Here is a 24,427-nt window from a genome sequence, read left to right as displayed (position 1 = left end):
GGCCAGCCCACATGGCACCGTGCCAGGACCCCAGGAAGCCGTCGTGCGGAGGGCGATGCCGGCCCCTCCCACCTCCTCCCTGCCTCCCAGGTCCCCAGAGTGCTCACCACCTCCTGAGGGCACCAGGGGGCAGAGGTCTTGATTTCATTAACTCTGTCTTCCTGCTGGACTGTCAGCCCCTCAGGGCCGGCTGTTGAACGGCTGTGTCCCCAAGGCACTGGGACACCGTGGACCTGAGTGCCTGTGTTTGGAGGAGGAGGGCACCACCGCCTGGGAGAAGACCCAGCCAGAGGACCCTGGGGAGGGACTGGCCTCCTCGCCGAGGCCCTAGCTGGCTCTGGGCTGCCCTTCCACAAACGGGCAGTAAGGAGCAGCAGGCTCAGGGGCCATGGCTTGGCTTGGCCAAGCCTGGGCCTGGCGTCCACTGTAGAGCAGCTGCGTCAGCCACCGGGCGAGGGAGAGGCAGGAAGGGCCGGCCCCAGGTGCTGCAGCCCCCAGCCTCGCCCCGCCCACCCGCCAGCTGGTGCCTGTGAACTTGTCTTCCTATCGCCTGGAACATCGCTGCAATTATTGATTTTTTGACACAGAACAACAGCCCATCTTTATCGGGCTGAACCCTGGCCCCAGCTAATGGCAGAGCTGGGACCGCCTGGGAATAGCAAGGAGGGCAGGGTGGGGCCCAGCTCTCCTGCAGGGACCTGGGGGCCCTCGCACCTGCAGGCCCAGTGGCCTGTCCTGGGGAGGGGGTGTCTCTAAGGGAAAGGGCAAGGCCCTGGCCCCACAGGGGCAGTGGGGCAGTGCTCAGGCCCAGAACTGCCCTTTCAGAGGCCTTGAGGACAGCTCGGAGCCAGGTCTTGCCTGTCTGAACCCCTTCCATGGTGCTCTCTGGGGACTGTGGTCTCAGACACCACTACCTTGGCCCCGTCTGGGGCAGCTGGACTGGCAGGCAGAGCGCCACGGTACACAGGGGGGCCATGTCCCTCCATGTACCCTTAAGGGGTCTGTGCACGGGGCCCAGCGAGGTGCTCTTTCTCCATGCACCCTGGGCGGTGTCTCTGCCACTCTGCGGCACCTCGCCAGGGCTGAGGAGTCTGAAAGCCACAGCCTCATGTCACCTCCAAGCTGGGAGATTGGCGGCCTCTCTGGGCTTCTGGAAGGCTAAACACCCTGGGTCCTGGGCCTTGGTCTTCCCGCCTGGGAAGTGGGGAGAGGGAGCTGATTTGCCTCCAGGTCCTAGTAGTCTGGTCTTTGGGGACCCTGAGGCCTGAGAACTGGGGTGGGGGTCCCTGGCTCTCCCCAGCCTTGCCTTGTCCTATTGGTGGCTGAAAACAGGATGTCAGATAAGCTGTTTGCACAGAACATATTTTCTTTACCTTATCTGTGTCCTATCGGCCTGGGCGCCCTGGCCTCTGCCCCGTTTTTCCAGGGTCTGGATGCCGCTGAGGGCCCTTTCTTCCTACCAGGTCCCTGCTCAGCCTGTTCATTTGCCCCCTGGGGACTCTGTCTGTGCTTCATAAATGGGAGAGGGTGAGTGAGGGCCCAGGGTACTGCCTCAGCCCTGGGCGAGACCATCTACCCAGCCTGGCAGGCACCCACCCCCACTGAGGGCAGCCATGGACACCCAGGCAGGTGCTGGTGAGGACGCTGGTACCCACCGAGAGTGTCAGGACACTGCTACCCCCAAGAATGGAAAAGTCCCTTCCAGAAAAGGCTGCTGCCCTGAGCCCTCACTGACCCTTCAGGCTCGTCACCTCCACAGAGGAGGTGCTAACCAGGGGGAGACTGAGGCCTCGGGAGCCCAAGATCTGCCTGGCAGCCCGAGGCGCTAACTGGGGTACAGGGCCTGTGCCCCGGGGTGAGCCCAGCCCCATGTGAGTCCCGGAGGCAGAAGGTGCTTCCGTGAACTGTGAATGTGTCTCCTCTTCTAAAAGTCACGTGTGATTTTATGGGAAGCCACAGAGGGTGCTGCCATGGCACCGATCACCCCAACACAGATGAGAAGACCGAGGTCAGAGAGGACCTGGCTCCACAGAGAGGCAGCTGGCTGTGAGTCAGATGCAGGCCAGGCAGAGGGTGGGAAAGACCAGGAAGCAGGAGGAGCCCTGGAGGCAGAACAGGCCGGCCCCTCCCCAGACACAGATCCCTCCACTCAGGAACCGTGGGCCCCCCAGACACAGATCCCTCCACTCCGGAACCGTGGGCCCCCCAGACACAGATCCCTGCACTCAGGAACCGTGGCCCCCCAGACACAGATCCCTCCACTCAGGAACCGTGGGCCCCCCAGACACAGATCCCTCCACTCAGGAACCGTGGGCCCCTCCCCAGACACAGATCCCTCCACTCAGGAACCGTGGGCCCCCCAGACACAGATCCCTCCACTCAGGAACCGTGGGCCCCTCCCCAGACACAGATCCCTCCACTCAGGAACCGTGGCCCCCCAGACACAGCTCCCTCCCCTGTGCCGCTGCTCAGGACCCACGGGGGTCCCCACTGGCCCCTGAATCAAGCACTGTGCTACAGTGGGGGTTCCTGTCCCAGGGGCGCCGTGCTCATCCACCCACCCTGCCCCGCGGAGCAGCGCCCCTGCCACCTCCCACCTGCCGAAGAGACCGCACACAGCCTTCCAGCCCTGAGGGGCCTTCATGGCTGGTGGGGTTGGAGGAACGACAGCTAAAGGCGGGTGGGGGTGGCGAGCGCTCTGAGGGCAGCCCCGGATCTGCCGTCCGGCCACCGTGTGTGCAGAGACCCACAAACGGGCATCCACGTGGCCTCTGCTGCCCTTAGAACATCCTTCTCTGGAAGAAACGTGGCAAGACAGCAAAAATTTAAAAAAATAAATGGCTTGCCATCTTTGACATGCTGACCTGAGCCCGCCCATGCCGGGATGATTTTTCTGGGATAAATTCCCAGGAGCCAACTGCTGAGTCAAGGGAAGCAGCAGCTGCTGGCGCTGGGGCAGCCCGGACCGGGTGGCTCCGACCTGCGAGGTGGGGACCCTCGGCTAGGGGGGGTCACCAAGGCCACTGCCTCCAGCAGCACTGGACGGGAAGGGACAGTGGGGCTCTGGGAGGCTGGGGACAAGCCCAAGACCTACAGTGACTCCAGGGTGGATCCAGATGGGAACCTGGGGCCAAAGACCCTGTCCATGGCCCCGGGCGGCCCACAGGGCACAGGGACGGGGTTGGGGGACATGGAGGGGCAAGCACAGAGGCGTCAGGCCTATGGGGCAGAGGTGGGTCCTGAGTGCCCGGCGCCCGGGCCCCTGGGCAGGGCGGGAGAGGGCGGGGGGCCGGGGTGGGAGGCACCCTCACGAGACGCAATAAACCCGAGATAGCATCTTGCCGCATCTCAGGCCCTGCTCGGCCCTTTCGGGCAGGATATGACCAGCCCTCGAGCCGATGGCGGCCCCTTTGTCCCATCTCCGGGGACCGATCTTATCAGCTGCGTCCACGGCCGCTGTAATGGAAAAGCGCAGTGAGGAAATAAAAAGTTACACGCAGAGAAGGAGGAGAGATAAATAAATAAATAAATAAATAAATAAATAAATAAATAAATAAATGGGGGGGGGCGGGTGGAGCCGCGTCGGGGGTGGAGGAGCTACTAGGAGTGTTAAACCATGGGTTGGGGCGTTTGCAGGGCTGGGGTCAGGAGGTCAGGGCTCACCGGCCTGGTCTCCACCTCGGATGAACCACGTGAACTCACTGGGCCTCAGTTTGCTCATCGGCCCAGGAGCCCCCTCGCGGGCTGGGGTTGATCCCATGGCAAACAGCAGTGGCAGGAGGGCCCTGCACCCACGCCCACTACCTCCATCACCAGCACCAGCGGCAGGGCCCTGCACCCATGCCCGCTATCTCCATTATCATCAGCACCAGCGGGAGGGCCCGGCACCCACACCCGTTACCTCCATCATCAAGAGCACCTGCGGGAGAGGCCCTGCACCCACACCCGCTATCTCTATCATCACCAGCACCTGCGCGATGGCCCACGCACCCAGGCCCACTATCTCCATCATCACCAGTACCTGCGGGAGAGCCCATGCACCCACACCCGCTATCTCCATCATCACCAGCACCTGCGGGATGGCCCACGCACCCATGTCTGCTATCTCTATCATCACCAGCACCTGCGGGAGGGCCCACGCACCCATGTCTGCTATCTCTATCATCACCAGCACCTGCGGGATGGCCCCCGCATCCATGTCTGCTATCTCCATCATCACCAGCACCTGCGGGAGGGCCCCGCACCCATGTCTGCTATCTCCATCATCACCAGCACCTGCGGGAGGGCCCCGCACCCATGTCTGCTATCTCCATCATCACCAGCACCTGCGGGAGGGCCCCCGCACCCAGGCCCACTATCTCCATCATCACCAGTACCTGCGGGAGAGCCCATGCACCCACACCCGCTATCTCCATCATCACCAGCACCTGCGGGAGGGCCCCCGCACCCATGTCTGCTATCTCCATCATCACCAGCACCTGCGGGATGGCCCCCGCATCCATGTCTGCTATCTCCATCATCACCAGCACCTGCGGGAGGGCCCCCGCATCCATGACCGCTACCTCCATCACCAGCAGTGGTGTCTCAGTTTCCCTCCTGGGCAGGAGGAGGTGGAGAAGTCAGGCCAGTGTGGGGAGGGGCCAGCCTTAGAGACCCTGACATATCCCCAGCCAAGGCTGCACCCCCACAGGGAGGGCCCGCTGTACCTGTCGGTCAGGTGAGGACACCGAGGTGCCGTCTAGGGACCCAGCACTGTGCCCAGGACCTGGCTCAGCCCAGGGTGGCCAAGATCCGAGCTGACCACGCAGACTTGCTGGGAAAGAGAAACTGTGGGCCCTGCCCTGCCCCAGCAGCCCCAGGGAGCCTGAACTGTCCTGTCCACGTCTCACAGATGAGGACCCTGAGCCCAGAACAGGGCACAACAGGCCCCAGGTCTGCGGTGAGAGAGGTGACACCTGGAAGCTGAGTCTGCCGTTGTGCCAGCGGGAGGGTTGGTGCCAGTAACGGCAACAGCACTGCTGGCAGCAACAGTCCTAGCAAGGTGACAGAATGACCCAGAGTGACAGCGACAGCACCAGCAAGGTGACAGCGGCCAGGCCAGCAGCAGCACTCTCTAATAGCGCTGTTTCTGTGCTAGTGACAGTCACGGTGCCCACGCTGGTGGTGACACGGGTGTAGTGGTGGGAACAAGGGCAGCTGGGGCAGCAGCTGCCAGCGACACGCTTGTGGCTTGCCCAGCGCCTGCCCACTGTCCCAAGGGTCCTCCCAAGAGCGCCCTGTGGCCGTCTTCCTGACGAGGCCACCAGCTCATGGGGGGAGCTGGCTGTGTCCCCGGCCATGCGGCAGGCCCAGGAGGGGCAAGGAGGGAAGCTTCTGGGCAGTAGCCGGGGCTCCAGGGGCTCGCCCAGGTGACTCTGGTGGGCCTGCCCCCGAGATGTCTGGGAGGGGCCGGTAGGGCAACGGCGGGGCCTGGGTGGGGGCTGGTGGTGGGGGATGGCCGGGGCAGGAAGCCGGGTGGGAGGGCGGAGGAGGAAGCCAGCTTGATTAGCGCCTGCGGCCGAGATAGGCTGCCCTGGCCACAGATAGCCTCTCCCGGAAGGTGGTGAGGCCAGAGGGCAGCACGGCAGGCAGCCAGGCCCGGCCCCCGCCCCCCAACCACCAGGATGGCTGGAGACCCAGGGCTCCGGCTGCGCTCCTCATGGGGCATCCACTGTCCGCTCACCCTCTGCTGGCATGGGGCCGAGGAGGGGCCGGGGAGCCCACGGGACTTGGGGGCTGGACCCGGAGAGGCTGGATGGGTGGGCCTGGGCCCTTCCCTGGGAGGCAGGCCTGTGGGCTCTGTGCCCACTCGGCCCCTCCCCAGCATGGGGGTGGGGTGGCTACCTCACCTCTCCTGGCCTCAGTTTCCCATCTGTGAATGGGGACACTGCCCACTTCAGCCAAGCCCTTTCTCAGATCTCCCTCTGTCTGCCCCTGAGCCGTCCTCCACCCAGCCAGCGGGATTCAGGGGCCACCCAGGTGGGGTCCCCCACACTGCACGCAGACCTGCTCCGTGTCCAGCCTGCTAGGCACCAGGCTCCGCCCTGTCCACGTGCGCGGTCCTGCCTGCCCCCTGGCCCCTTCGCTGCTCCCAAAGTCAGCTGGGCCGGCCCCACCCCAGGCCTCTGTACCCGGCTTCCTCTGCCCTGGCCTGCGTCTCCCACCCGCTGCGCGGCCCCCACGACTGCTCTCTTCTCCTCCGCGGCTGCTCTGGAGGAGGTCTGTTTTCCTCACGCTGCATCCCCCTGTCTATCACAGGGCTGGCACATAGCTTGTGCTCAATAAATGGAAGTACAAGGGAGTGAGTGAGTGCCGGCTCTGCCTGCGATTTCGGGACTTCGAGGCCCAGGTGACTTTCCCGGGGTGGAGGCTGAAGTCAGGGCCAGGTTCAGGAGGCGGCTTCTGTATGGCCAGGGCTGGGGTGGGTGCGGGAGGTCAGCCAGGCCCCAGGGTGCCGGCAGCCTGGTCATGGGGGAGCCACGGGGGCCGTTGGGGAGCTGGGGATGAAGGAAGGGGAGCCGGCCTCGGGGGCTGCAGATGGCTCTGGCCCCAAGCTCAACCCTGTCCAGGGGCTCCGCCCACAGGGCCTTGCGTGGAGAGGCAGGCCTGGGGTCTGGTGGTGCAGGCAGGACCCGGGTGCAGCCCCCACCCAGGCCTGGGGCCAGTGCTTGGGAGAGGGGAGGGAAGGGTGTCATGGGAAGGCTCAGGGCCAGGGGCAGCCAAGGTGTCCACGCCAACGACCCAGGGTCAGGCCAGCCAGAGCCTGCGACCTCTGAACTCAGTTTCCAAGATAACCACCCTCTGCAGCCGCAGGCCCAATGTGATGGGGCCTCAGGCTCTGAGCTGACTGCTGCCTCACCCCTGCGATCACTCCAGATTAGAGGGGTGCCCCCGGCTCCGGGACTGCGCCCTCGGCCTGGGACACCGTTTCCAGACGCCCCTCGTTCATTTGGAACTCAAACGTCGGCTCAGCGAGGCCGGCTCTGCCTGCCCCTCGGACATGTGGGGTTCCTACCTCGTCATGATTTGGGGTGTCTCCCTCACCAAGGAGCAGATCCCGGAGGGCCTGGGCTATGCTGGCCTGAGCACGTCCCTCATACACACGCTGGTTGAATGAACATGCCACCTCCTTCTCTTAACTGCTCCCGGGCAGGACACCCATGTTCTTTCTGGTTCCAGGGCCCGTGTCCCTCCACCATACACGTCCAGGGCAGGCCCATCCCTGTCTATCCAGCACCTGATATGCGCCTGGCCCCAAAGTGCTCAGCAAACCTCCGGGGAAGGGGCGTGGCTGCGAGACACACAGCCCCTCCTCGGGTTCTGTCTCGGGCTCCCCAGGGCCCCCTCTGCCCAGCTGTGAAGTGGGGCGGGGTCTGAGGCTCCCTCTGGGGACCCCCCAGGTGGGTCCGTGTTCCCCAGGACAGCCAGAGGAGGTGGCTCCTGACCCAGCACTGGGTCTGGTCTCTGGAGCTGACCCCAGGCTGACCCCTGCCATCCGCCAGGGCCCCCTCCTCCGCCGTTAATCTAAGACTAATAGTGCTATCGGGGGCAGCACAGGGCCGCTGATAAGGCAGAATAGCTGGAATGATTTCCCACCCACGCACACCGGGTGGGGAGGGAGCCAGTCGCCTATCGGCCCATCTCCCTGCTGTCCATCAGGCCGGGCCCCCGCCTCAGCCTCCACCCGATAGCAGGCCTTGAGGTTTGCGTAGACGCTCCGCCGGCGAGATTAGTCAGATGGAGCTCGGCCCAGATAACCAGCCCGACGCCCTCACACACTCGGGTGAGGATTCCCAGCCTCGGGCGGGCCCTGTCGGGACCCTGGGGCGGGGGACCCTTCGTGGGCCTCAGGCAGGAAATAGTGGACAGAGCCCTCCTCCCGCCTCACAGCAGCTGCCGGCTCCCAGCGCCGGGATGCTGGACCGGATCGCTCACGGCACGAACACCCCCCACAAAACCCTTCAGGGTACCCATTTTACAGCCAAGAAAACCGAGGCAGCTCCTTGCAGTCCCTGGCACTGAGCCCCCGCCCTGACCCCGCTGAACCCCATCCCCGCCCGGGCCCTGAGCCCCACCCTGACCCCTCTGAACCCCATCCCCGCCCGGGCCCTGAGCCCCACCCTGACCCCTCTGAACCCCATCCCCGCCCAGGCCCTGAGCCCCACCCTGACCCCTCTGAACCCCATCCCCGCCCGGGCCCTGATGTTCCAGCCACCACTGACCACTTGAAACTCAGGCCCTGAGCCAGCTCCTTGTGCACACCCGACCCCACTCTACTGTGTCTGTCACACCTTGGAATGGGGCTGGGGCTGGGGCTGGGGCTGGGGCCGTCCACCTGCCGCCCCTCCCATCTCTCACACCCAGCCTGACACTCGGGCATCCCTTCTACTGGCCAGCAGTGCCCTGGGGACATGGCCAGCCTTCCCATCTCTGCCATCAGAGCCCAGGATGGAGTGGGGATGGAAAAGTCACGACTTGTGTGATCAGCTGGAATTCACCTTGTCCATAGTGGTCCTGGGAGAGCTCCAGGTCCTGAGGCACTTACGGGTGGAGCGAGCCAGGAGCAGGTGTGTGCGGCTCCTGGGCAGGGGCAGGCCTGGCAGCCCCCCACCCACAGGCAGCGCTGCCCAAGTCCCAGCCCCATGTCCACTCAGGGTTGGACCGCTGTGGCGAAGCCACCTCACCTTGCTGAGCCCCCGTTTCCCTAACTGTAGAGTGGGATCCAACTCAGACCTCCCCTGCAGGACTGGCTGCCAGACGTGAGAGACCCTGTATACCAGGAGTCGAGAGCCCCCCTCACAGGAAACGCCCAGTGAGAGGCGATCTCCTCAAGCCCCGTGTACATGACCAGTGCTGGTGTGCTCTGATGCCCAGCAGTGTGTGGGTGAGGGTCCCCGTCCCCACCCCAAGCCCCCTCTCTGTTGCTTTCTCTCCCCTGTGGCCCACCCTGGGCCAGGGCAGGTGGGGACTTTTGTTCCACAGCCTGAAGCCCCCAGGTGGGGGCTTCAGGGTCCAGGGGAGCCCCCCTGTTCAATCTCAGCCGCAGGGTACCCCAGGCCTCTCCTCCACCAAAGGCCCAGCTTCCCAGGCCCCACTTTGCCCCTGGAGTCAGTGGGGGTGGGGCGGGGTCTGGGCTTCATGAGGATTGCTTGCCCGGGAACTGCACAGGCCAGGGCTGAGCCTCAGTGGTGCACCTGGGTCAGGTCCCCAAGCACCAACCCAGCCCCACTCTGCCCTCCCTCTCCTATCCAGCCTGTCTCCAAGGCCAGGCTCCAGCCTGGAACCCCCAGCCCTGTGCTCTCAGGATAAAGCCAGCCCCGCCGCTGTCACATCCTGGGCCTCTCACCTCTGCCCAGGCTGGTCCCTCCTCATGGAAAACCCTTCCAGGAGGCCAGGCAGGGGATGTGTGCTGAGCCCACCAGGAAAATTCTCCCTGACACCCAAGGGCAGTGGATGCCACTGCCAGGTGCCCTCTGGAAGCCTCCTCCTTCGGCTCCAGAGGACTCTGGGATGGAGTGTCCTGCCCTGCCCAAGGATGGCCGTGGGGCCACATGGAGCCCAGGCTCAGGTGAGAGCCGCAGGAGTCACTGCTGGGAGCCTGCCCCGGAGCCTGTGGGCAATGCGGCCACGCTTTGCCCTGGACCACCCCAGCTCCCACCTCACAGGCGGACCCCTGTGCTCCTCTTGCCTTAGCATGCCCCCCTCCCCATGGCCCAGTTGCATTTTGTTTCATACATTTGGTTACCAGGAAAAAGCTCTAGGCCCCGAGACGCCTCCTGGTGAAGGGAACCCCACCACCCTGGCCCCCAAGTGGGCTCCTGGCCACTCACCTTCCATCCGGGGCCATAGAGCCCCGGCTTCCCTCATGTTACTTCACACACACAGAGTGGTGGGCAAGTCCTGTGGGCCTCTGAGGCCGCCTCCTCACTCCCCGCCTAGCATGGCACCCTTGGCACGGTCCTGCCCTTAGCGTCAGGTCTCAGGCCATCCTTCCCACCCTCGGTGCCTGCACCACGCTGCCTCCCAGACAGACACAGGCAGAGCTGGGGGAGACTCGCTCTCTGCCCACCCAGCAGACCAGGCACCTCCTCTGCACTGGCACAGGTGGGCAGGTAGGGGGCCAGAGGAAGGACGGACAAGTGAGGCCTCCTCGGTGCCCCAGGTAGCCCTGGGCGAGAAGCTTTCCTCTGAGCCCAGTTCCCCTCAGTTCTGCCCAGCCTCACAGAGGGAGGTGGCGGAGGCCTGTTCCAGGGGAGGGGATTCCACACTCCAGGGTCCAGCCCCCACGCTCTTCGGCCTTTTCCTGCACCTGTTTCCTTGTGGCCCAGCCTACACGATTACTCTCTGGGCAGACGACCACACAGGGCCCGTGAAATGGGCCAGCCCAGGACCCCAGGGAGTCGAATGGGACCCCGGCTCCACCCCTCCAAGTCCTAGTGGGGCTGGCACGTCTGAGCGCCTCCATTTTCCGAGGCAGGAGTGGGATGCCCAGGACTCAGCCCCACATCCCACGATGGGACGGGCCTGCAGGATGAGCCACGGCCGAGCTGCTCCCGAGCGCGTGCAGGGATTATAGATTATGGCTTAGCCATTTGCATAGCAGAATCTTAAGCAGCCGCCCCTCCGGCAAACAAGGTCATTTCAAAGATAAAATAGGAGCTCTCCGCCTCCTGCCGCCCATCCTTCCCTTCGCATCCGGGCTGGTGGCTCCAGGGAGGAGGAGGGAGTCCAGGCCCTGGTGGCCTCCACCCGAGGTCCCTTCTCTGTGGCCACTTCTGGGATCACGCTCAGACCCCAGCCCTTCTCTCCTCCTGCCGGCTCCTCCTGCTGCCTCACTGGAGTCCAAGGCCACAGGCCCAGTGACCGGGCCGCACTCCTGCCTGTCCACGCCCGCCTCGCCCCCCACTCAGGCCCTGCGGCCTCCTGCCCGTGCAGGGCTGCGCCCTCTACTGCACCCTCTGCTCCCTACTGCAGGGCCCCGACTCACCCTGGAGGCCCGCGGACACCCCCTCCTGGAATCAGCCCCCTCCCTGTTTCCCCCTCGCTTCCTGGGTTTGCTGTGGGTGGTGACGGCGGGGTTTGGTGTGTTGTGATTGGTCCCTGTGACGGGAGGCTCTGCCCGCGGCCTCTCACCCCGGCCGGGCGTCCTGCTTTGGACAGCGGGGCCGCACTGCAACAACCCCACTGGTGGATCCCTTCCGGCTTCCACCTGGAAGCCTCCCTGGTGCTGAGAGGGTAACGGGGTTTGGGGGGTGAGCTCCTCCTGCCATGAGGCCATGGTGACTGCCACCGACGGGGGAGCGCAAGGTGGCTGCTCCCGGCCCCTGCTCGGCCGCCTCTTGGCCGCGGAAAGGGGAGTTCCAGGTTGCAGATGGCGGCTTCTCCCCGTAGAACCTGCCCGCACCCCCCAATCCGAGATAACCCAGGCCGCCCCGGGGCAGCCGACAAGCTCAAGGCCTGCAGCCGAGGTCTGGGAAGTGACTCCAGCCACACTCTGCGCTACACACTCCGCAGTCCCCCTCCTCGTGGAGGCTTCCTGCGGCTGTGGCTTTCCTTATGTCCATTTTACAGATGCGGAAACTGAGGCCTGGAGGGGTCAGGCGGCCTGCCTGCTGTCACTCAGCGAGGCTGGACTATAGGGCCTGTGCTCCCGTCTCAGAACAGCTCAAGGTGCCCTCCTTTGAAGCCGTGGCGCTCGAGAGCAAAGCCGCTCGCAGCAGACAGAGCTCAGAACTTTTGAAAACAAAAACCAGCACCCACTGAGTGCCTCCCTGATCCTTTTTAGGGCTCTGGGACCACCAGGTATCAGGTAGGGCCAGGAAGGGGCTGGGGTGGGGGCAGTAACAGGGCCAGGAGATCATGGGAAGTCAAGACAATGGCCATGTGCATGCCAGGACAGCTCTCCGCAACCCGGGACAGCTCCCCGCACCCCGGGACAGCTCACCGCACCCCGGGACAGCTCTCTGTACCCCGGGACAGCTCTCCCTACCCCGGGACAGCTCACCACACCCCGGGACAGCTCTCCCCACCCCGGGACAGCTCTCCCCACCCCGGGACAGCTCCCCGCACCCTGGGACAGCTCTCCCCACCCCGGGACAGCTCTCCCCACCCCGGGACAGCTCCCCGCAGCCCGGGACAGCTCTCCGTACCCCGGGACAGCTCCCCGCACCCCGGGACAGCTTCCTGCACCCTGGGACAGCTCTCCCCACCCCGGGACAGCTCTCCCCACCCCGGGACAGGTCTCCCCACCCCGGGACAATTTCCCACACCCCAGGACAGCTTTCTCCACCCCGGAACAGCTCTCCTCACTCCGGGACAGCTCCCCGCACCCCAGGACAGCTCTCCTCACCGTGGGACAGCTCTCCCCACCCCGGGACAGCTCCCCGCACCCTGGGACAGCTCTCCTCACTCCGGGACAGCTCTCCTCACCCCGGGACAGCTCTCCCCACCCCGGGACAGCTCCCCCCACCCCGGGACAGCTCCCCGCACCCCGGGACAGCTCCCCGCACCCCGGGACAGCTCTCCGCACCCCGGGATAGCTCTCCATACCCCGGGACAGCTCTCCATACCCCGGGACAGCTCCCCACACCCTGGGACAGCTCTCTGCTCCCTGGGACAGCTCCCCACACCCTGGGACAGGTCTCTGCTCCCCGGGACAGCTCTCCGGTGCTTACAAAGTCCTTGTGTGCCCAGGAACTCACTTATGTGTGCAGCGGGTGTTGGGGGCCTCTTGGGTGTCCCTTGGGAGAAGGAGAGGGGCTGGGAGGCCTCCTCTCTGCCTGATGTTACATGAGTGCCTCCAGGGAGTCTGGGACCACCAGGGACAGGGCAGCCTGGCTGGACCCATGGTGGAGCTGTTGGGAGAGGCACCAAGGCCGGGCCTCTCCGCCGGGCTAACACCGTCCACCTTCTGGATGTCCACAAGTCCCAGTCGCTTTCCCTGGGAAATGGGTCTAACCGGGGTCGGGGTTGGGGGGTTTCCCAGGATACCTGTGAGTCCGGGTCCAGCCAGCAGATGAGGGCCCTGGGCTCTGGGCTCTGCAGCGTGACCGGGTCCCATCCACATGCAGGACAGATGGGAAACAGACTCAGGGCCCAGTCACCTCCCCAAAGCCACAAGGTGCAGAGTGCCCCTTGGTCCGAGCTGGTGCTCCCTCCACCCCAGATAGGAAAGGAGGACGGCACCTCCCAGGCCGCCTCAAGAACAGGGCCCCAGGCCAGGTTCAGAGGGGCTGGGGCAGGTTCAGAAGGGCTGGGGCCTGCACTGTTTCCCACCCTTGGGATTGGGTGGGGTGGGGAGCAGCTGTGGGCCAGAGACCATAAAACAGAAATTGGGAGAGAAAGGGGCAGAGACGGGTGAGGGAGAGAGGCATGGAGAGAGACAGAGAGAGAGAGAGAGAAAGAGAGGCAGGGAGGGAGGAAGAGAGAAGGAGAACGGCAAAGAGAGAGGGAGAGAGGAAGGGAGAGAGGGAGAAGGCGAGGAGGGATGGGGAGAGAGAGAGGGGCTCACACAAGATGGAGCATCAGAGAGAGGGTCTGGAGACAGAAGGCAGAGATGCTCAGGAGGAGCAGGGCAAATGTGGCTGATCCCCTATTGTGCCCTGGCCACTGGACCGGTCACCTGGCTGGGCACTGCCCTTGGGGCCACTGACCCTGCTGGCCATCGACGCACGGGCCGCCCCGAGAGATAACAGCCCACAGAGCCTCCTTGGCTTCCCCGCGGGTGATAGCTCAGCCTGTGTGGGTCTGATAGGCCGTAGCCACTGCAGCGGTTGGCCAGCGGCCGCGTATCAGCCCATCACCGCCCACTGCACAGAAATTCATATCTGCGGGAGCCGATAGGGCACCGCCTGGTCCTGAGGATGCACACAGCACAGGAAGCTCGGGGGTGTGCCCCAGCCCCAAACCACGGCCGGCCTCAGGGGCCCGGCCCTTCCCGGCGCCAGGCTCCATCCCCCAGGGCCTTCTCCGTCTGGAGAACAGGAGGATGATCTAACCCCTCTCAACACCGCAGGGATGGACAGGGACCCTTGGGGTGGCGATCAAACCAGTGTCTATGAACTCCAGGCCTAAACCCAGCTCCACCACCTCCCAGCCGCATGACGGTGGATGCGTCCTGCATCCCCGGGCTGGGTCTCCTCCTCCAGAGACTTGGGTCACCATCTCGGCCCCTCTTGGGGCTGGTGTGAGGACTGCCCAGCACCCTGTTTGCCCAGTGGCCAACTGGGTCCCACAGGTACACAATGGTCCCTGCCACTGCGTGGGTGGTCTCCACTGATAGAGTGTGGGAGCTCTGCGGGCCCGAGGGGGGCCTGTGGGCGCCCTCCCTGCTACCCGCTACCCTATTCTACAGCAGGGGACACTGAGGCAGTCAGGGCGGCCCCTCCCGACCCCACAGTGCTGCCCTGCAAGTGAAAAGGCCTCCCTGTCATGCTGACTCCGCAGCGAAGGCCTGAGGCACCAGCACCTGACTGGGACCCCCGAAGGCACCAGCGCCTGACTGGGACCCGCGAAGGCACCAGCGCCTGACCGAGACCCCCGAAGGCACCAGCGCCTGACCGAGAGCCCCGAAGGCACCAGCGCCTGTCTGACCCCCGACAGGTGTGTCCTGGGCCTGCTCCCCACCTGGTGTCCCTGAGGAGAAGGGACGCAGCCAGCAAGTTTCTACCATGGCGCCTGGAACCCCCACCATCTGTGGGTCCCAGGTGGGCAAGTCACATCATCTGCTGTGCTGGATGCCCGGTCCCCCTTCCTGGGGGACAGCAGGGGGAGCCCGTGAGGACCGGTGGCCATGAGGCCCCAGCATTGCCTTGGGCAGCCCCACAGCCCATGCAGGTGTAACTCAGCTTCCCCATGGGGCCGGGTCATCCTCCTGGCTGCGGCTGCCCAGGCCCACCCCTCTCTCTGTGGCCCCGGCTGCCCTGTTGTGGGAAGGGGCAGCGTTAAACAAGCGGCTGCCTACTTGCACCGGCGGGCACATGGACCCATCGTGCACTCTCCCCTTGCTGCTGGGACCTCGCTGACCCCTTTCCATCTTGGCCCCTGGGAAGGAATGTGGTCCCTCTGCCTCAGCGAAGCCTTTCCCGCTCCCCAGCACGGCGAGCGCCTCACCATGCATCTTCTCTCCACAGACGGGGCCCTGCTGGTGTCATTACGGCCGCTTGCGCGCTCTGCATCGGCCATCTGCTCCCGGCTATATGCCTGGCACACAGCAGGCACTCAATAAATGCTTGCTGCCGGGCGTGGTGGCTCACGCCTGTAATCCCAGCACTTTGGGAGGCCGAGGCGGGCGGATCACGAGGTCAGGAGATCGAGACCATCCTGGCTAACACGGTGAAACCCCGTCTCTCCTCAAAATAGAAAAATTAGCCGGGCATGGTGGCAGGCACCTGTAGTCCCAGCTACTCGGGAGGCTGAGGCAGGAGAATGGCGTGAACCTGGGAGGCGGAGCTTGCAGTGAGCCGAGATCGCGCCATTGCACTCCAGCCTGGGCGACAGAGTGAGACTCCATCTCAAAAAAAAAAAAAAATAATAAATACTTGCTGCATCTGTACATGCATCTGGCTCGAGCACCTGCCCCTCCCCACGCTGTCCCTCCTCCACGGGGGACCTTGCGACCCCCACCCCGCCTCTGCTGGGCCCCCTCCCTCCCTCACCCACCAGCTCCCATGACGGCCTTGGCCAGGCAGCCCTGGGATTCCACCCCAGACGCTACTGCGGTTCCTTGGGCTGTGGGATTTATTAGGAACGACAGAAACAACCTGACTGCCAGTATTTCCTGCGTTCATAAATGAATGGAATTCACAGTCCCCGAAGGGGCCACAGGGAGAACACGTTCATGGGACTTCTGGGGTCAGAACTCCAGCTGCAAATCACGGAGCAGAGTCACCAAACCACCCTCTAGGACACACCCTGTGGCCCAGGCCCCGCGGGGTATGTGGATGGGACTCCGTCCCCATAGGCTGCAGCCGCTCTGGAGTGGGGTGGGGCCCTCTCCTGCCCTTCAGGCCTGACCGCCTGCCTGGGCACCTCAGCACAGCTCTGAATCCCGGCCCAGCTGGGAAGGCCACGGGCCCGGGCAGCTCAGACGCAGCCTCCTGTTCCCACCTCCCTGCCTTTCCTGCCTCTGAGGATTCTTTACCAGCCACCACTCTGGATCCTCTTCCGCGGCCCAGACCAGGCTCTGATCCAGGGAACCCCCCAGCGCTTCCTTGTACACCACGTGAGGCCCGGGATTGGCGCGAGGGTGCCAAGCTCCAGTGATACCACCAGCTGCACGGGTTGGCTGAGCTTTGGACTAGGCACAGGCCTGGGCCTGGTGGGTCTCCAGCAACCTGCACACCTGCCCCAGCACCCACGTCGCCCTGCTCCCAGGGGCCGGGCCAGGCTGCCCGGGAGGCGATGCTGCTGCCCCCACCACCCGCGTGGTTACCTGGCCCGCTCCAGGGACTGCCCGGCTCTTCCTCCGTGGGCCTGGGTTCTGGTTCCTGTCCTTCCAGCTCCTTGGGGCCTCCTGGGGATGTGGGGGGCGGCAGCGGTGGGGGTGAGTTAACATCTGCAGAGAGGAAAACACCGTCACATCCCTGCTGAGTGCCGGGCACTGAGCTGCCCCTCCCTGTAGCTGGGAAGGATGCTGAGGCGCTGGGCGCCGGGTTGGGGAGCTCGGGCCCAGAGCCACCCCCATCTCCTGGTGCGCTCTCACTGGGGTGGGACAGACATCCAAGTTTTCCTCTTGCTCTTTTAAAACCCCTCTCCCCTCATTAATTGCTTCAAAGATAATTGTTATTCCAGCTGCTGTTGATAATCAGGGTACAGGATGGCCAACTGGCCTGTCCCGGCCAGCAGGCACATGCGCCGTCGCCAGCTCCCTGGTCCCCTCTGCTGGCAGCTGGGGGCCCCTCCACCAGGCCCTGCACCGATTCCAGCCCAAAGGGCATGTTTGCCTTCCCAGCTGGCCTGATAACCACCTCGGCCCCGATCGATGCGATCCCATAAAGCCCCCCCACCCCATGACGTCACGTGTCTACAGATTATTAATACCCGCGATAAGGGCTGCGATTAACATCAAATAAGTCAATCACACAGTATAAAAGTCCTATTATTTTTGGCTATAAATCAAAGTGGCTGGCATCTGAGCTCCAGCCACCGCGAGGGAGCCTCGCTGGACCCGCCAAGCGGCAGACAGCTCCTGCGCTGCTGTGTTATCGCGCCCATCGCCACGCTATCACTACGGGCGGTGCCAGGTGCAGCCCTGGCTGTTTTTTCCAGCTCCTTCCCGGGCCCCACCCCCGCCCCCATGCGGCCCTGGCTCCTAGATCAGATAAGGAGCCTGGCTCCCCGGGAAGCCGGCCCGGGTCAAAGTCCACCTCCACCTGCCCTTTGCTGCGGCCCCTCCATCAGGGCGCCCTGCAGCTTGCCGGCGGCACCTGCGTGCGGCACTAAGGCTGGCGGCGGTGACAGCCAAGGGCCTCGGAGTCCACATGTGCTACACGTGCTCTCTCCCCCCAGCCACCAAGGGACTCGCACCCAGCTCACATGTGCAGTAACGGAGGCTCCGCGAGGGTTAAGAGCCCGGCCCCGGGACTGGCCAGGGAGAGCTCTGGCTGTACCACGAGCAGCGTGTGCCGACGGGGACGGCGGCAAGGACAGGGAGGAGTGGCAGCCAGCGGGTCCCAGGCCTCACCAGAGGCTGGGCTGGACGCCTGCACCTGGCCTGGCCGTCCTGGGGCTGGGATGTCCCTGGGTGAGCTAGGGGAGATGGCGGCCCCAGCCCTGGGGTCAAGTCCCACTGGCTCTGGTGACCCCAGGGCCTGCTGCCTGCCAGAAAAAGGGGCCCAGGCGCAGCAGGCTGGGCATGTGCAGATGGGGGTGAGGCCTGCTGGGCTCTTGGGGCCGCGGCCCACCCAGCGGGGACCCTGACACTCAGACTGGGAAATGCTGGGGTGGGGGTCCCCACTGAGAAATCCCGCTCCCAAGCCAGGGACCAAGGTCTGCCTGGGATCTCCACCCCAGCCCCTCGGCTGCAGACCCCTCTGAAACCTCTCCCCCACCCCCGTTGGCCTTGGAGCCTTTGGACCTGCTGTCACTGCCTCCTGGCATTCTTCCGCCCGTCAGGGGCAGCCCCACGCATCCATCTCTCCTCCACCCCAGCTCATGTCACCCACCTAGCATCCTCCCAAATGGTCCGGGTATGGCCACATCCCCTCCACGTTGGAGTGGGGGTAATTCACAGTCTGTGTGCAAAGGGTTTCATGGCATGGGGTAGGTATGAGATTGGTGCCTGGGGCTGCAAGTGGAGTGTGGGGGAGCTGGGTGGAGCCCACCCCACAACCTGCTGCTGTCTCTCTCGGACCTTGGAAAATGGGGGTGAGCATGCTGACCTCTCCTGGCACCTCTGTCCCAGGGAGGCCCCTTCTCCCAGGGTCTCTGGATGTGTCTGGGGTACAGCTGGCTCCAGCAGGCCTCCTTATGGCAGGTTAACTGTCTCCTGGGAGGGCAGGCCCTCCTTCCGGCTTGGGAAATGCCCTGCCCCATGGAATTGGCCACCAGGAGGGCCCAGGGAATGTGGAGGTGCCTGTGAGGGTGGAGGAAATCAGGCTAAACCCAGACCTGGGTGGGACCCCCACTAGGGCACTTGCGAGCTGAGTGACCCTGGCAAGTCACCAAACTTCTCTGGTCTGTGAATGGGGTGTGGTGTCTTAGCAGGAGACACCACTGTGCACCCAGCACCCACTTGCACCCAGCATCCACTGTGCACCCAGCACCCATCTGCTGTGCACCCAGCATCCACTGTGCACCCAGCACCCACTTGCACCCAGTATCCACTGTGCACCCAGCACCCATCCGCTGTGCACCCAGCATCCACTGTGCCCCCAGTACCCACTTGCACCCAGCACCCACTGTGTACCTAGCACCCACTGTGCACCCAGGACCGATCCACTGTGCACCTAGTACCCACTGTGCACCCAGCACCCATCTGCTGTGCACCCAGCGCCCATGGTGCACCTAGCACCCACTGTGTACCCAGCACCCATCCACTGTGCACCTAGCACCCACTGTGCACCCAGCACCCACTTGCACCCAGCGGTCATCCACTGTGCACCCAGCACCCACTTGCACCCAGCACCCACTGTGCACTCAGCCCAAGCAGCATGCCAGCAGGGATCACAGCTCAACAAGCCCCAGGGAGGGGGCCTCATGGTCCCCACTTCACAGAGGGTCTACTGAGGCTGGGAGGGGCATGGATTCCCATCCAACCCAGGGCCAGACCTGCCCCATCTGGGCCTTGGTCTGCTCATTTGTATGAGGGCTGGATTTCAGGCTGCACATGCAGCAGGTGTGCACATCTCCCCTTTCCTGGAGACCCCCCAGCCCCACCGAGGGCCTCCGGGCAACAGGCCTCTGGCTGGAAGACGCCTGTCCTGGACTCCTGCATATAGTTGGCCCACACCTCTCAGACACCACTGAGCTCTGAGGGCATGGTACGGGTAAGCAATGGAGGCCCCGGCTGGAGGCGCGGTGAGAGGGCTCAGTCTGACTCACCTGCGCTGGGAGGGCTCGGGGCTTCAGGTGCCGTGGCCTTTTGCTCCATGTGGCTGGCACCCACCAACTGCACCTCCTCTCTGGCCTCCATGTCTCCGAGGGAACCTGTGGACACAAGACGATGGGGGTTCGGGAGGAGCTCTGGGGGGACAGCTCCTGCCTCCTGACCCCTCCTGGCATAGGTACAGCCCCGGTGCCCAGGCGGAAATGGCAATGGGTGGGGGTGAGGGTCATCCCTCACCCTGAGGTCAAAGGACAGGTGGCTGTTAGCTGGGGGCTCCCTCTGGGTTCCTCAAGACTTGACATTTGGGCATGGTGGCTCACACCTGTGATCCCAGCAGTTTGGGAGGCTGAGGTGGGAGGATTGCTTGAGTCCAGGAGTTTGAGAGCAGCCTGGGCAACATGGCAAGACCCTGTCTCTATAAAAAATACAAAAATTAGCTGGGTGTGGTGGCGCACACCTGTAGTCCCAGCTACTAGGAGGGCTGAGGTGGGAGGATCGCTTGAGACTGGGAGTTGGAGGCTGCAGTGAGCCGCGATTGCACCGCTGCACTCCAGCCTGGGTGACAGAGTGAGACCTCTGTTTCAAAAAAAAAAAAAAAAGACCTGATGATTCTTGACGAACCCCCACCCTCTGCAACATTTCCAAAGCTGCAGGGTCGCCTCCGCCCACCCTTACCTGCCGTGACCCTTGGCCTCCACCACGCCCACGGATTCCACTCTTGCCAGAGAAGGGCCGCGGACCCCGTGTCTCTTTCCCACCTGCTCCCCCCAGCACCAGGGGACAGGCCCCCACCTGCTCTGGCAGCCCTGGAGCTGCGAGTGGGCCCTCCCTGTACTGTAGGCCCAGCGTCCATCCAGGCCCTGAGGGTCGCCGTCGCCACGGCCTCCGCCTGGCATCACCTGCCAGTGCCCCGCCCAGGGGCCCAGTCCCCGTGCACTTCCCTCACACTCATTCCCTCGGTCTGGGAACTCCCTGGGGTGACACCCTCACCCAGCACAAAGGAGGCGCTCACAGACTTGTCGAGCGAACAAACCAAGCAGGGCACAGGTGTCTGCAGCACCTGGGGGTGGAGTGCCTCAGGGCCTGGGTCCCTCAGAGACTCACACATCGGGGTGGGGGAACTCCAGGAGTCCACCTGACAGGTGACAAGGCAGACTGAGACAAGGCCACGCGGCCCAAGTGCGGGGGCAGCTGCTCCGGACCCCACAGTGGCTGTGGAGTGGCGCTGAGTGCAGGTGTGTGTGCTGACATCCGCCGGCGGGGCTGGTGATGGGTGATGGTGTCCAGTGTGAACAGAGGACAGAGGTGCCCTTCCATATCCTGTTTGACTGCTCCCCAGGTCCCCAGGCCCTGACTCAGCCTGCGTGCTGCGACTGCCCCCTCTGCACCCATACTCCACAAGGCCTGACCCGCCCAGCCTTCTACTGTCCTGTGTGAAGCACGATGGGGGCAGAGCCTCCCGACACACTCAGGAGTGGGAGGGGCCGTGGCCCTCCTGAGCCCAGACCCCAGGTCCTGCGGCCGCCAAGCCCCATGGTCACAGCAGAATAATGAATAAGAAAAGTCTGGAAACCGCGTGTCTGAGTTCACGTGTCAGGGGAGCTGATGGGGCAGAGTGGGGGTGGGGCAGAACAGAAGACACCAGAGGGAAGGCCTGAGCGTTGCAGGCTGGAACAACCACCTCCTGAGGGCTGAGCGCCCCATCCCTGGAGGCAAGCAAGCCGCACGGATGGAGAACTGTTCGGGGTTTGCGCCTCTGGCTAGGTGGTTCCTGGCTTGTCTTGCCTCATGGCCCCTCTGGGAATCTGATGAAACCTGGTGCCTCCTCCCCAGAAAAACACACCGAAGCGCCCACATGTGCCCAGCTTCAAGAGCTTCTCTCCGAATCCCCACTGTCCTCCTTCACAGCCCCTCATGATCCCTGCTTTGCTTTGTTTCTCCAGGGAAAGGCAGAAGATGGGAGGGAGATGGGCTGGTCGGAGGTGGAGCCTGCTAACGCCCGAAACACCTGCCCAGCCAGTAAGAAACGTGCCACCCGCCAGCGTCCAACGCCAGGTTCAGAGGCTCATGTCAGAGACCCCCGAAGATGCGAGAGAAGGAGAAATGCTGTGACTGAGTTTCAGGCTGATGTCCAAGGCTGACCCCGCCGTTCCATGCAGCAGGGAGGCGGGAAGGTGGATTTTCTGCGCGTTTGGACTCCAGCCCCCTCTCTGATCATGAGCAGGCTGTGGCTGGCTGATGCCGTCAAACCAAACTGCTCCTGGAGGGGCAGATGCCTTTTCTGCCTTCTGCTGACACCCGAGGGCTAGGTGCCAGGTGCCGTTCCAGGATGCAGGGGTGCACCAGATCGCTGAACACTGCCCTGGGTGTCCGGGCCACTGTGGGGACAGTCAGAGAACAACAGATGGGCCCCGGCCGAAAACAATGGCAAGTTCTGGAAGTGCAGTGAGGGAAGGGGCCATGAGAGAAAGACAGAAAAACACGGGGATGGGAGGGGCTGCCGCCGGTAGATCTCGGAGGGAACAGTGGTTGTTGTGAGACCAGCCCCTGAGAAGACAGCTCTGGCAGAGGGGGCCATATGTGCAAAGGCCCTGGGGCGGGGCCAGAGGTGGTGGAGGAAGGGGAGGTCGGGGGCCAGGGTGTGCTGGCAGTCAAGGCTGAGGGCAGGCAGGGTCCTGGCCGTGCTGACCTCAGAGGCCACGGGGAGGAGGGGACCCTCATCCTGGGGCCACCGGGGAGCCATGGGGGGTCCTGGACAGGAGGGGCAGGTGCCACCGGGGAGCCATGGGGGGTCCTGGACAGGAGGGGCAGGCTGGACTCTCCTAGCTGCAGCCTTTGGGGCTCTAGCTGGGACCCATGAGTCCCGGCCTCCTCAGAGCACCTCAGAGCTGTAATTATAGGAGGGGGCTGGGCTCAGACCACACAGGAGCCAGCCCCAGGCGAGGGCTCACAGCCTCCCATTAAAGCGCCCACACGGGCAGGCTCCAGGGCAGGCTGGGCCACCCCTGACCGGTTCAACTCCTGCCCCTGGGACAGGAGGCCCAACCCGAGTGCCCTCCCTCAGCACACGCCAGGGCAGAAAAGCAGCCACCGAGGCCTCCCCTCCCCACCTCTGGGGTCGGCCCTGAGCAGGCAGTGCCATCCAGAAGGTCAGGAGGTGCTCGGCCATCCCCGACTTGGCGGGAGCACGCGGAACGATCAGCTCAGCCCGGCTCCTCCCCCTTCTAGAGGCCCGGGCTTTCTGTGGCTGGCATGGAGCTGGGAGGGGCTGCCCAGGAGCTGTGCTTCCTCCTGCTGAGCAGCTGTAGGGCATCAGGGCCTCAGTGACCTGCTCTGGCAAATGGGCTGGAGGCCACCTGCCTTCAGGGACTTCGGGGACCAGAGCACTGGGGCTGGGGCCCACAGGAGACACAGCCCTGTGCATACCTGCTGCAGCCTCAGGAAGGTGGGCTGGCTCTCCATACCCCACCCAGGTGGGCCTCAGACACCCAGGGAGGTGCTGGGATGGTGATGGGTTCTCCTATTTACACAAGAACAAAGGCTCCTGCTCCACACAAAGCCGTGGTGATGAGCGTGGAGAAAGAGGCTGCCAGGCTAATTTCAGTTCCAGCACAATTAAAACGGCTCTGATAATGCAGGAGACAACTGTCAGCCCACAAATAGGATGTGTCGAGGTGGATGCTGCCCTGGGCCTGCCTCGGTGTCTGAGAGCAGCTGCCTGGTCCCCACCGAGCCCCTAAGTCAGCACCGGTCTCGTCTGTGGCCCACCTGGGGTCCGTGGGGACTCTCCAGGTGGGCGACAGAGCACTTGGGCCCCCAGTGGCTGGGGGCATCTGTGAGCCACAGCTGCTCTCTGCTGCTTTCTCCCCATGCCCGGGGCTAGCAAAGAACCCCCCTAGCCTCTCTGGGGACCCTCTCTCTGCCCAGTGATGCCAACAGCTGGAGCAGGCCAACCCACGGCCAGGCAGGCTGACAGCTGCTGCGTCCTTGCTGTGTGACCTCGAGCAAGTCACTCCACTCTCTGTGCTCAGTTTCCCGGTCTACAGATGGAAGCCACAGCAGCTCCCACTTCAGGAGATGAAACGTGCAGCCTGCCCGCGTCCTCAGAGCTCAACACAGGGCAGGTGCTCAGTGAACATGAACTGTGGCTAGCACAGGTTTTGAGAAATGGGCAAGGGTGTGAATGGTTAAGACTGGACGGGCGGTGCTCAGCACTTTACAAATGCCCACCCTTAACCGCCCCCACCCACGTAGTCCAGCGAGATGGTCTTCCAATTTCATTTCAGATGGGGAACCTGGGGTGTAGAGGGTGGCAGCCCACACAGACCTCAGCAGGTAGGGGCGGTCAGGAAAGTGCAGGGGGACAGGGTGCATGGAGGAGGGGGTATGAGGACAGTACGGGGACTCGGTGACGGCTGTGGCAGGGTGGAGTGGAGTAGCGTAAGCAGGACCTTGGGGGCAGCCATCGTGGAAATCCCACTCGCCAACCACATCCCAATACCCACAGTGGGAAGCCAGGTCATTCCCACTTTACAGGTGAGTAAACCAAGGCCCAGCAAGGCCGACTTGCGAGCTGCCCTGTCCACGGCCCCCGGCGAGGAGGCAGCGGTGGTGGGGGTGGGGGTGGTGGGACAGGAACTTGGGGCTGGGTTTCAGACCTGCACCCAGCACGTAGCCCTTCCCCGAGCCAGACACGGACCCCACGCCTCCCTCGCCCTGGGACCACCTGCAGTGAGGGTGATGTCAGCCCCATTGCCTGGCCTGGCAGAGGTCAGTGGCCAAGGCTGCACCTGCCTGGAGGTGTCCACGGGCTATGGCTGTGGTCATTGGCGGCCAGGGCAG

At 64.2% G+C, this 24,427-nt stretch overlaps 1 protein-coding gene across 5 annotated transcripts in view, besides 3 other annotated features; it reads right to left on the bottom strand.

Moving 5' to 3' along the window:
- ZFPM1 (zinc finger protein, FOG family member 1) overlaps positions 1-24,427 on the bottom strand; it is an 85,263-nt gene that overhangs the window by 31,407 nt on the left and 29,429 nt on the right. For 3 of the 5 annotated variants that reach the window (XM_011522914.3, XM_047433667.1, NM_153813.3), the window contains exons 2-3: positions 19,582-19,686; positions 16,472-16,594 (exon numbers count right to left, since the gene is read on the bottom strand). In XM_011522914.3, coding sequence (XP_011521216.1) covers positions 16,472-16,594; positions 19,582-19,686 — 228 coding nt within the window. Of the gene's footprint in view, positions 1-15,150; positions 15,241-16,471; positions 16,595-19,581; positions 19,687-20,260; positions 24,183-24,427 lie in introns of those variants that run through there. The other 2 variants (XM_011522912.3, XM_017022982.2) reach the window with 2 other exon arrangements.
- Positions 21,379-21,884: an enhancer, noted in NCBI's record as "H3K4me1 hESC enhancer chr16:88550149-88550654 (GRCh37/hg19 assembly coordinates)". NCBI's record gives its function as "activates a minimal SCP1, AML or CMV promoter by ChIP-STARR-seq in primed H9 embryonic stem cells {active_cell/tissue: H9 hESC(primed)}" and the evidence as "EXISTENCE:reporter gene assay evidence [ECO:0000049][PMID:30033119]".
- Positions 21,885-22,390: an enhancer, noted in NCBI's record as "H3K27ac-H3K4me1 hESC enhancer chr16:88549643-88550148 (GRCh37/hg19 assembly coordinates)". NCBI's record gives its function as "activates a minimal SCP1, AML or CMV promoter by ChIP-STARR-seq in primed H9 embryonic stem cells {active_cell/tissue: H9 hESC(primed)}" and the evidence as "EXISTENCE:reporter gene assay evidence [ECO:0000049][PMID:30033119]".
- Positions 22,586-22,725: an enhancer, noted in NCBI's record as "active region_11353". NCBI's record gives its function as "activates an Ori minimal core promoter by ATAC-STARR-seq in GM12878 lymphoblastoid cells {active_cell/tissue: GM12878}" and the evidence as "EXISTENCE:reporter gene assay evidence [ECO:0000049][PMID:35858748]".

Source organism: Homo sapiens, chromosome 16, assembly GCF_000001405.40.
Source record: "Homo sapiens chromosome 16, GRCh38.p14 Primary Assembly".
NCBI classification, from domain to species: Eukaryota; Metazoa; Chordata; class Mammalia; order Primates; family Hominidae; genus Homo; species Homo sapiens.
Note: the sequence above shows the minus strand (reverse complement) of the source record. Positions and strands in the feature narration are given on the sequence as shown.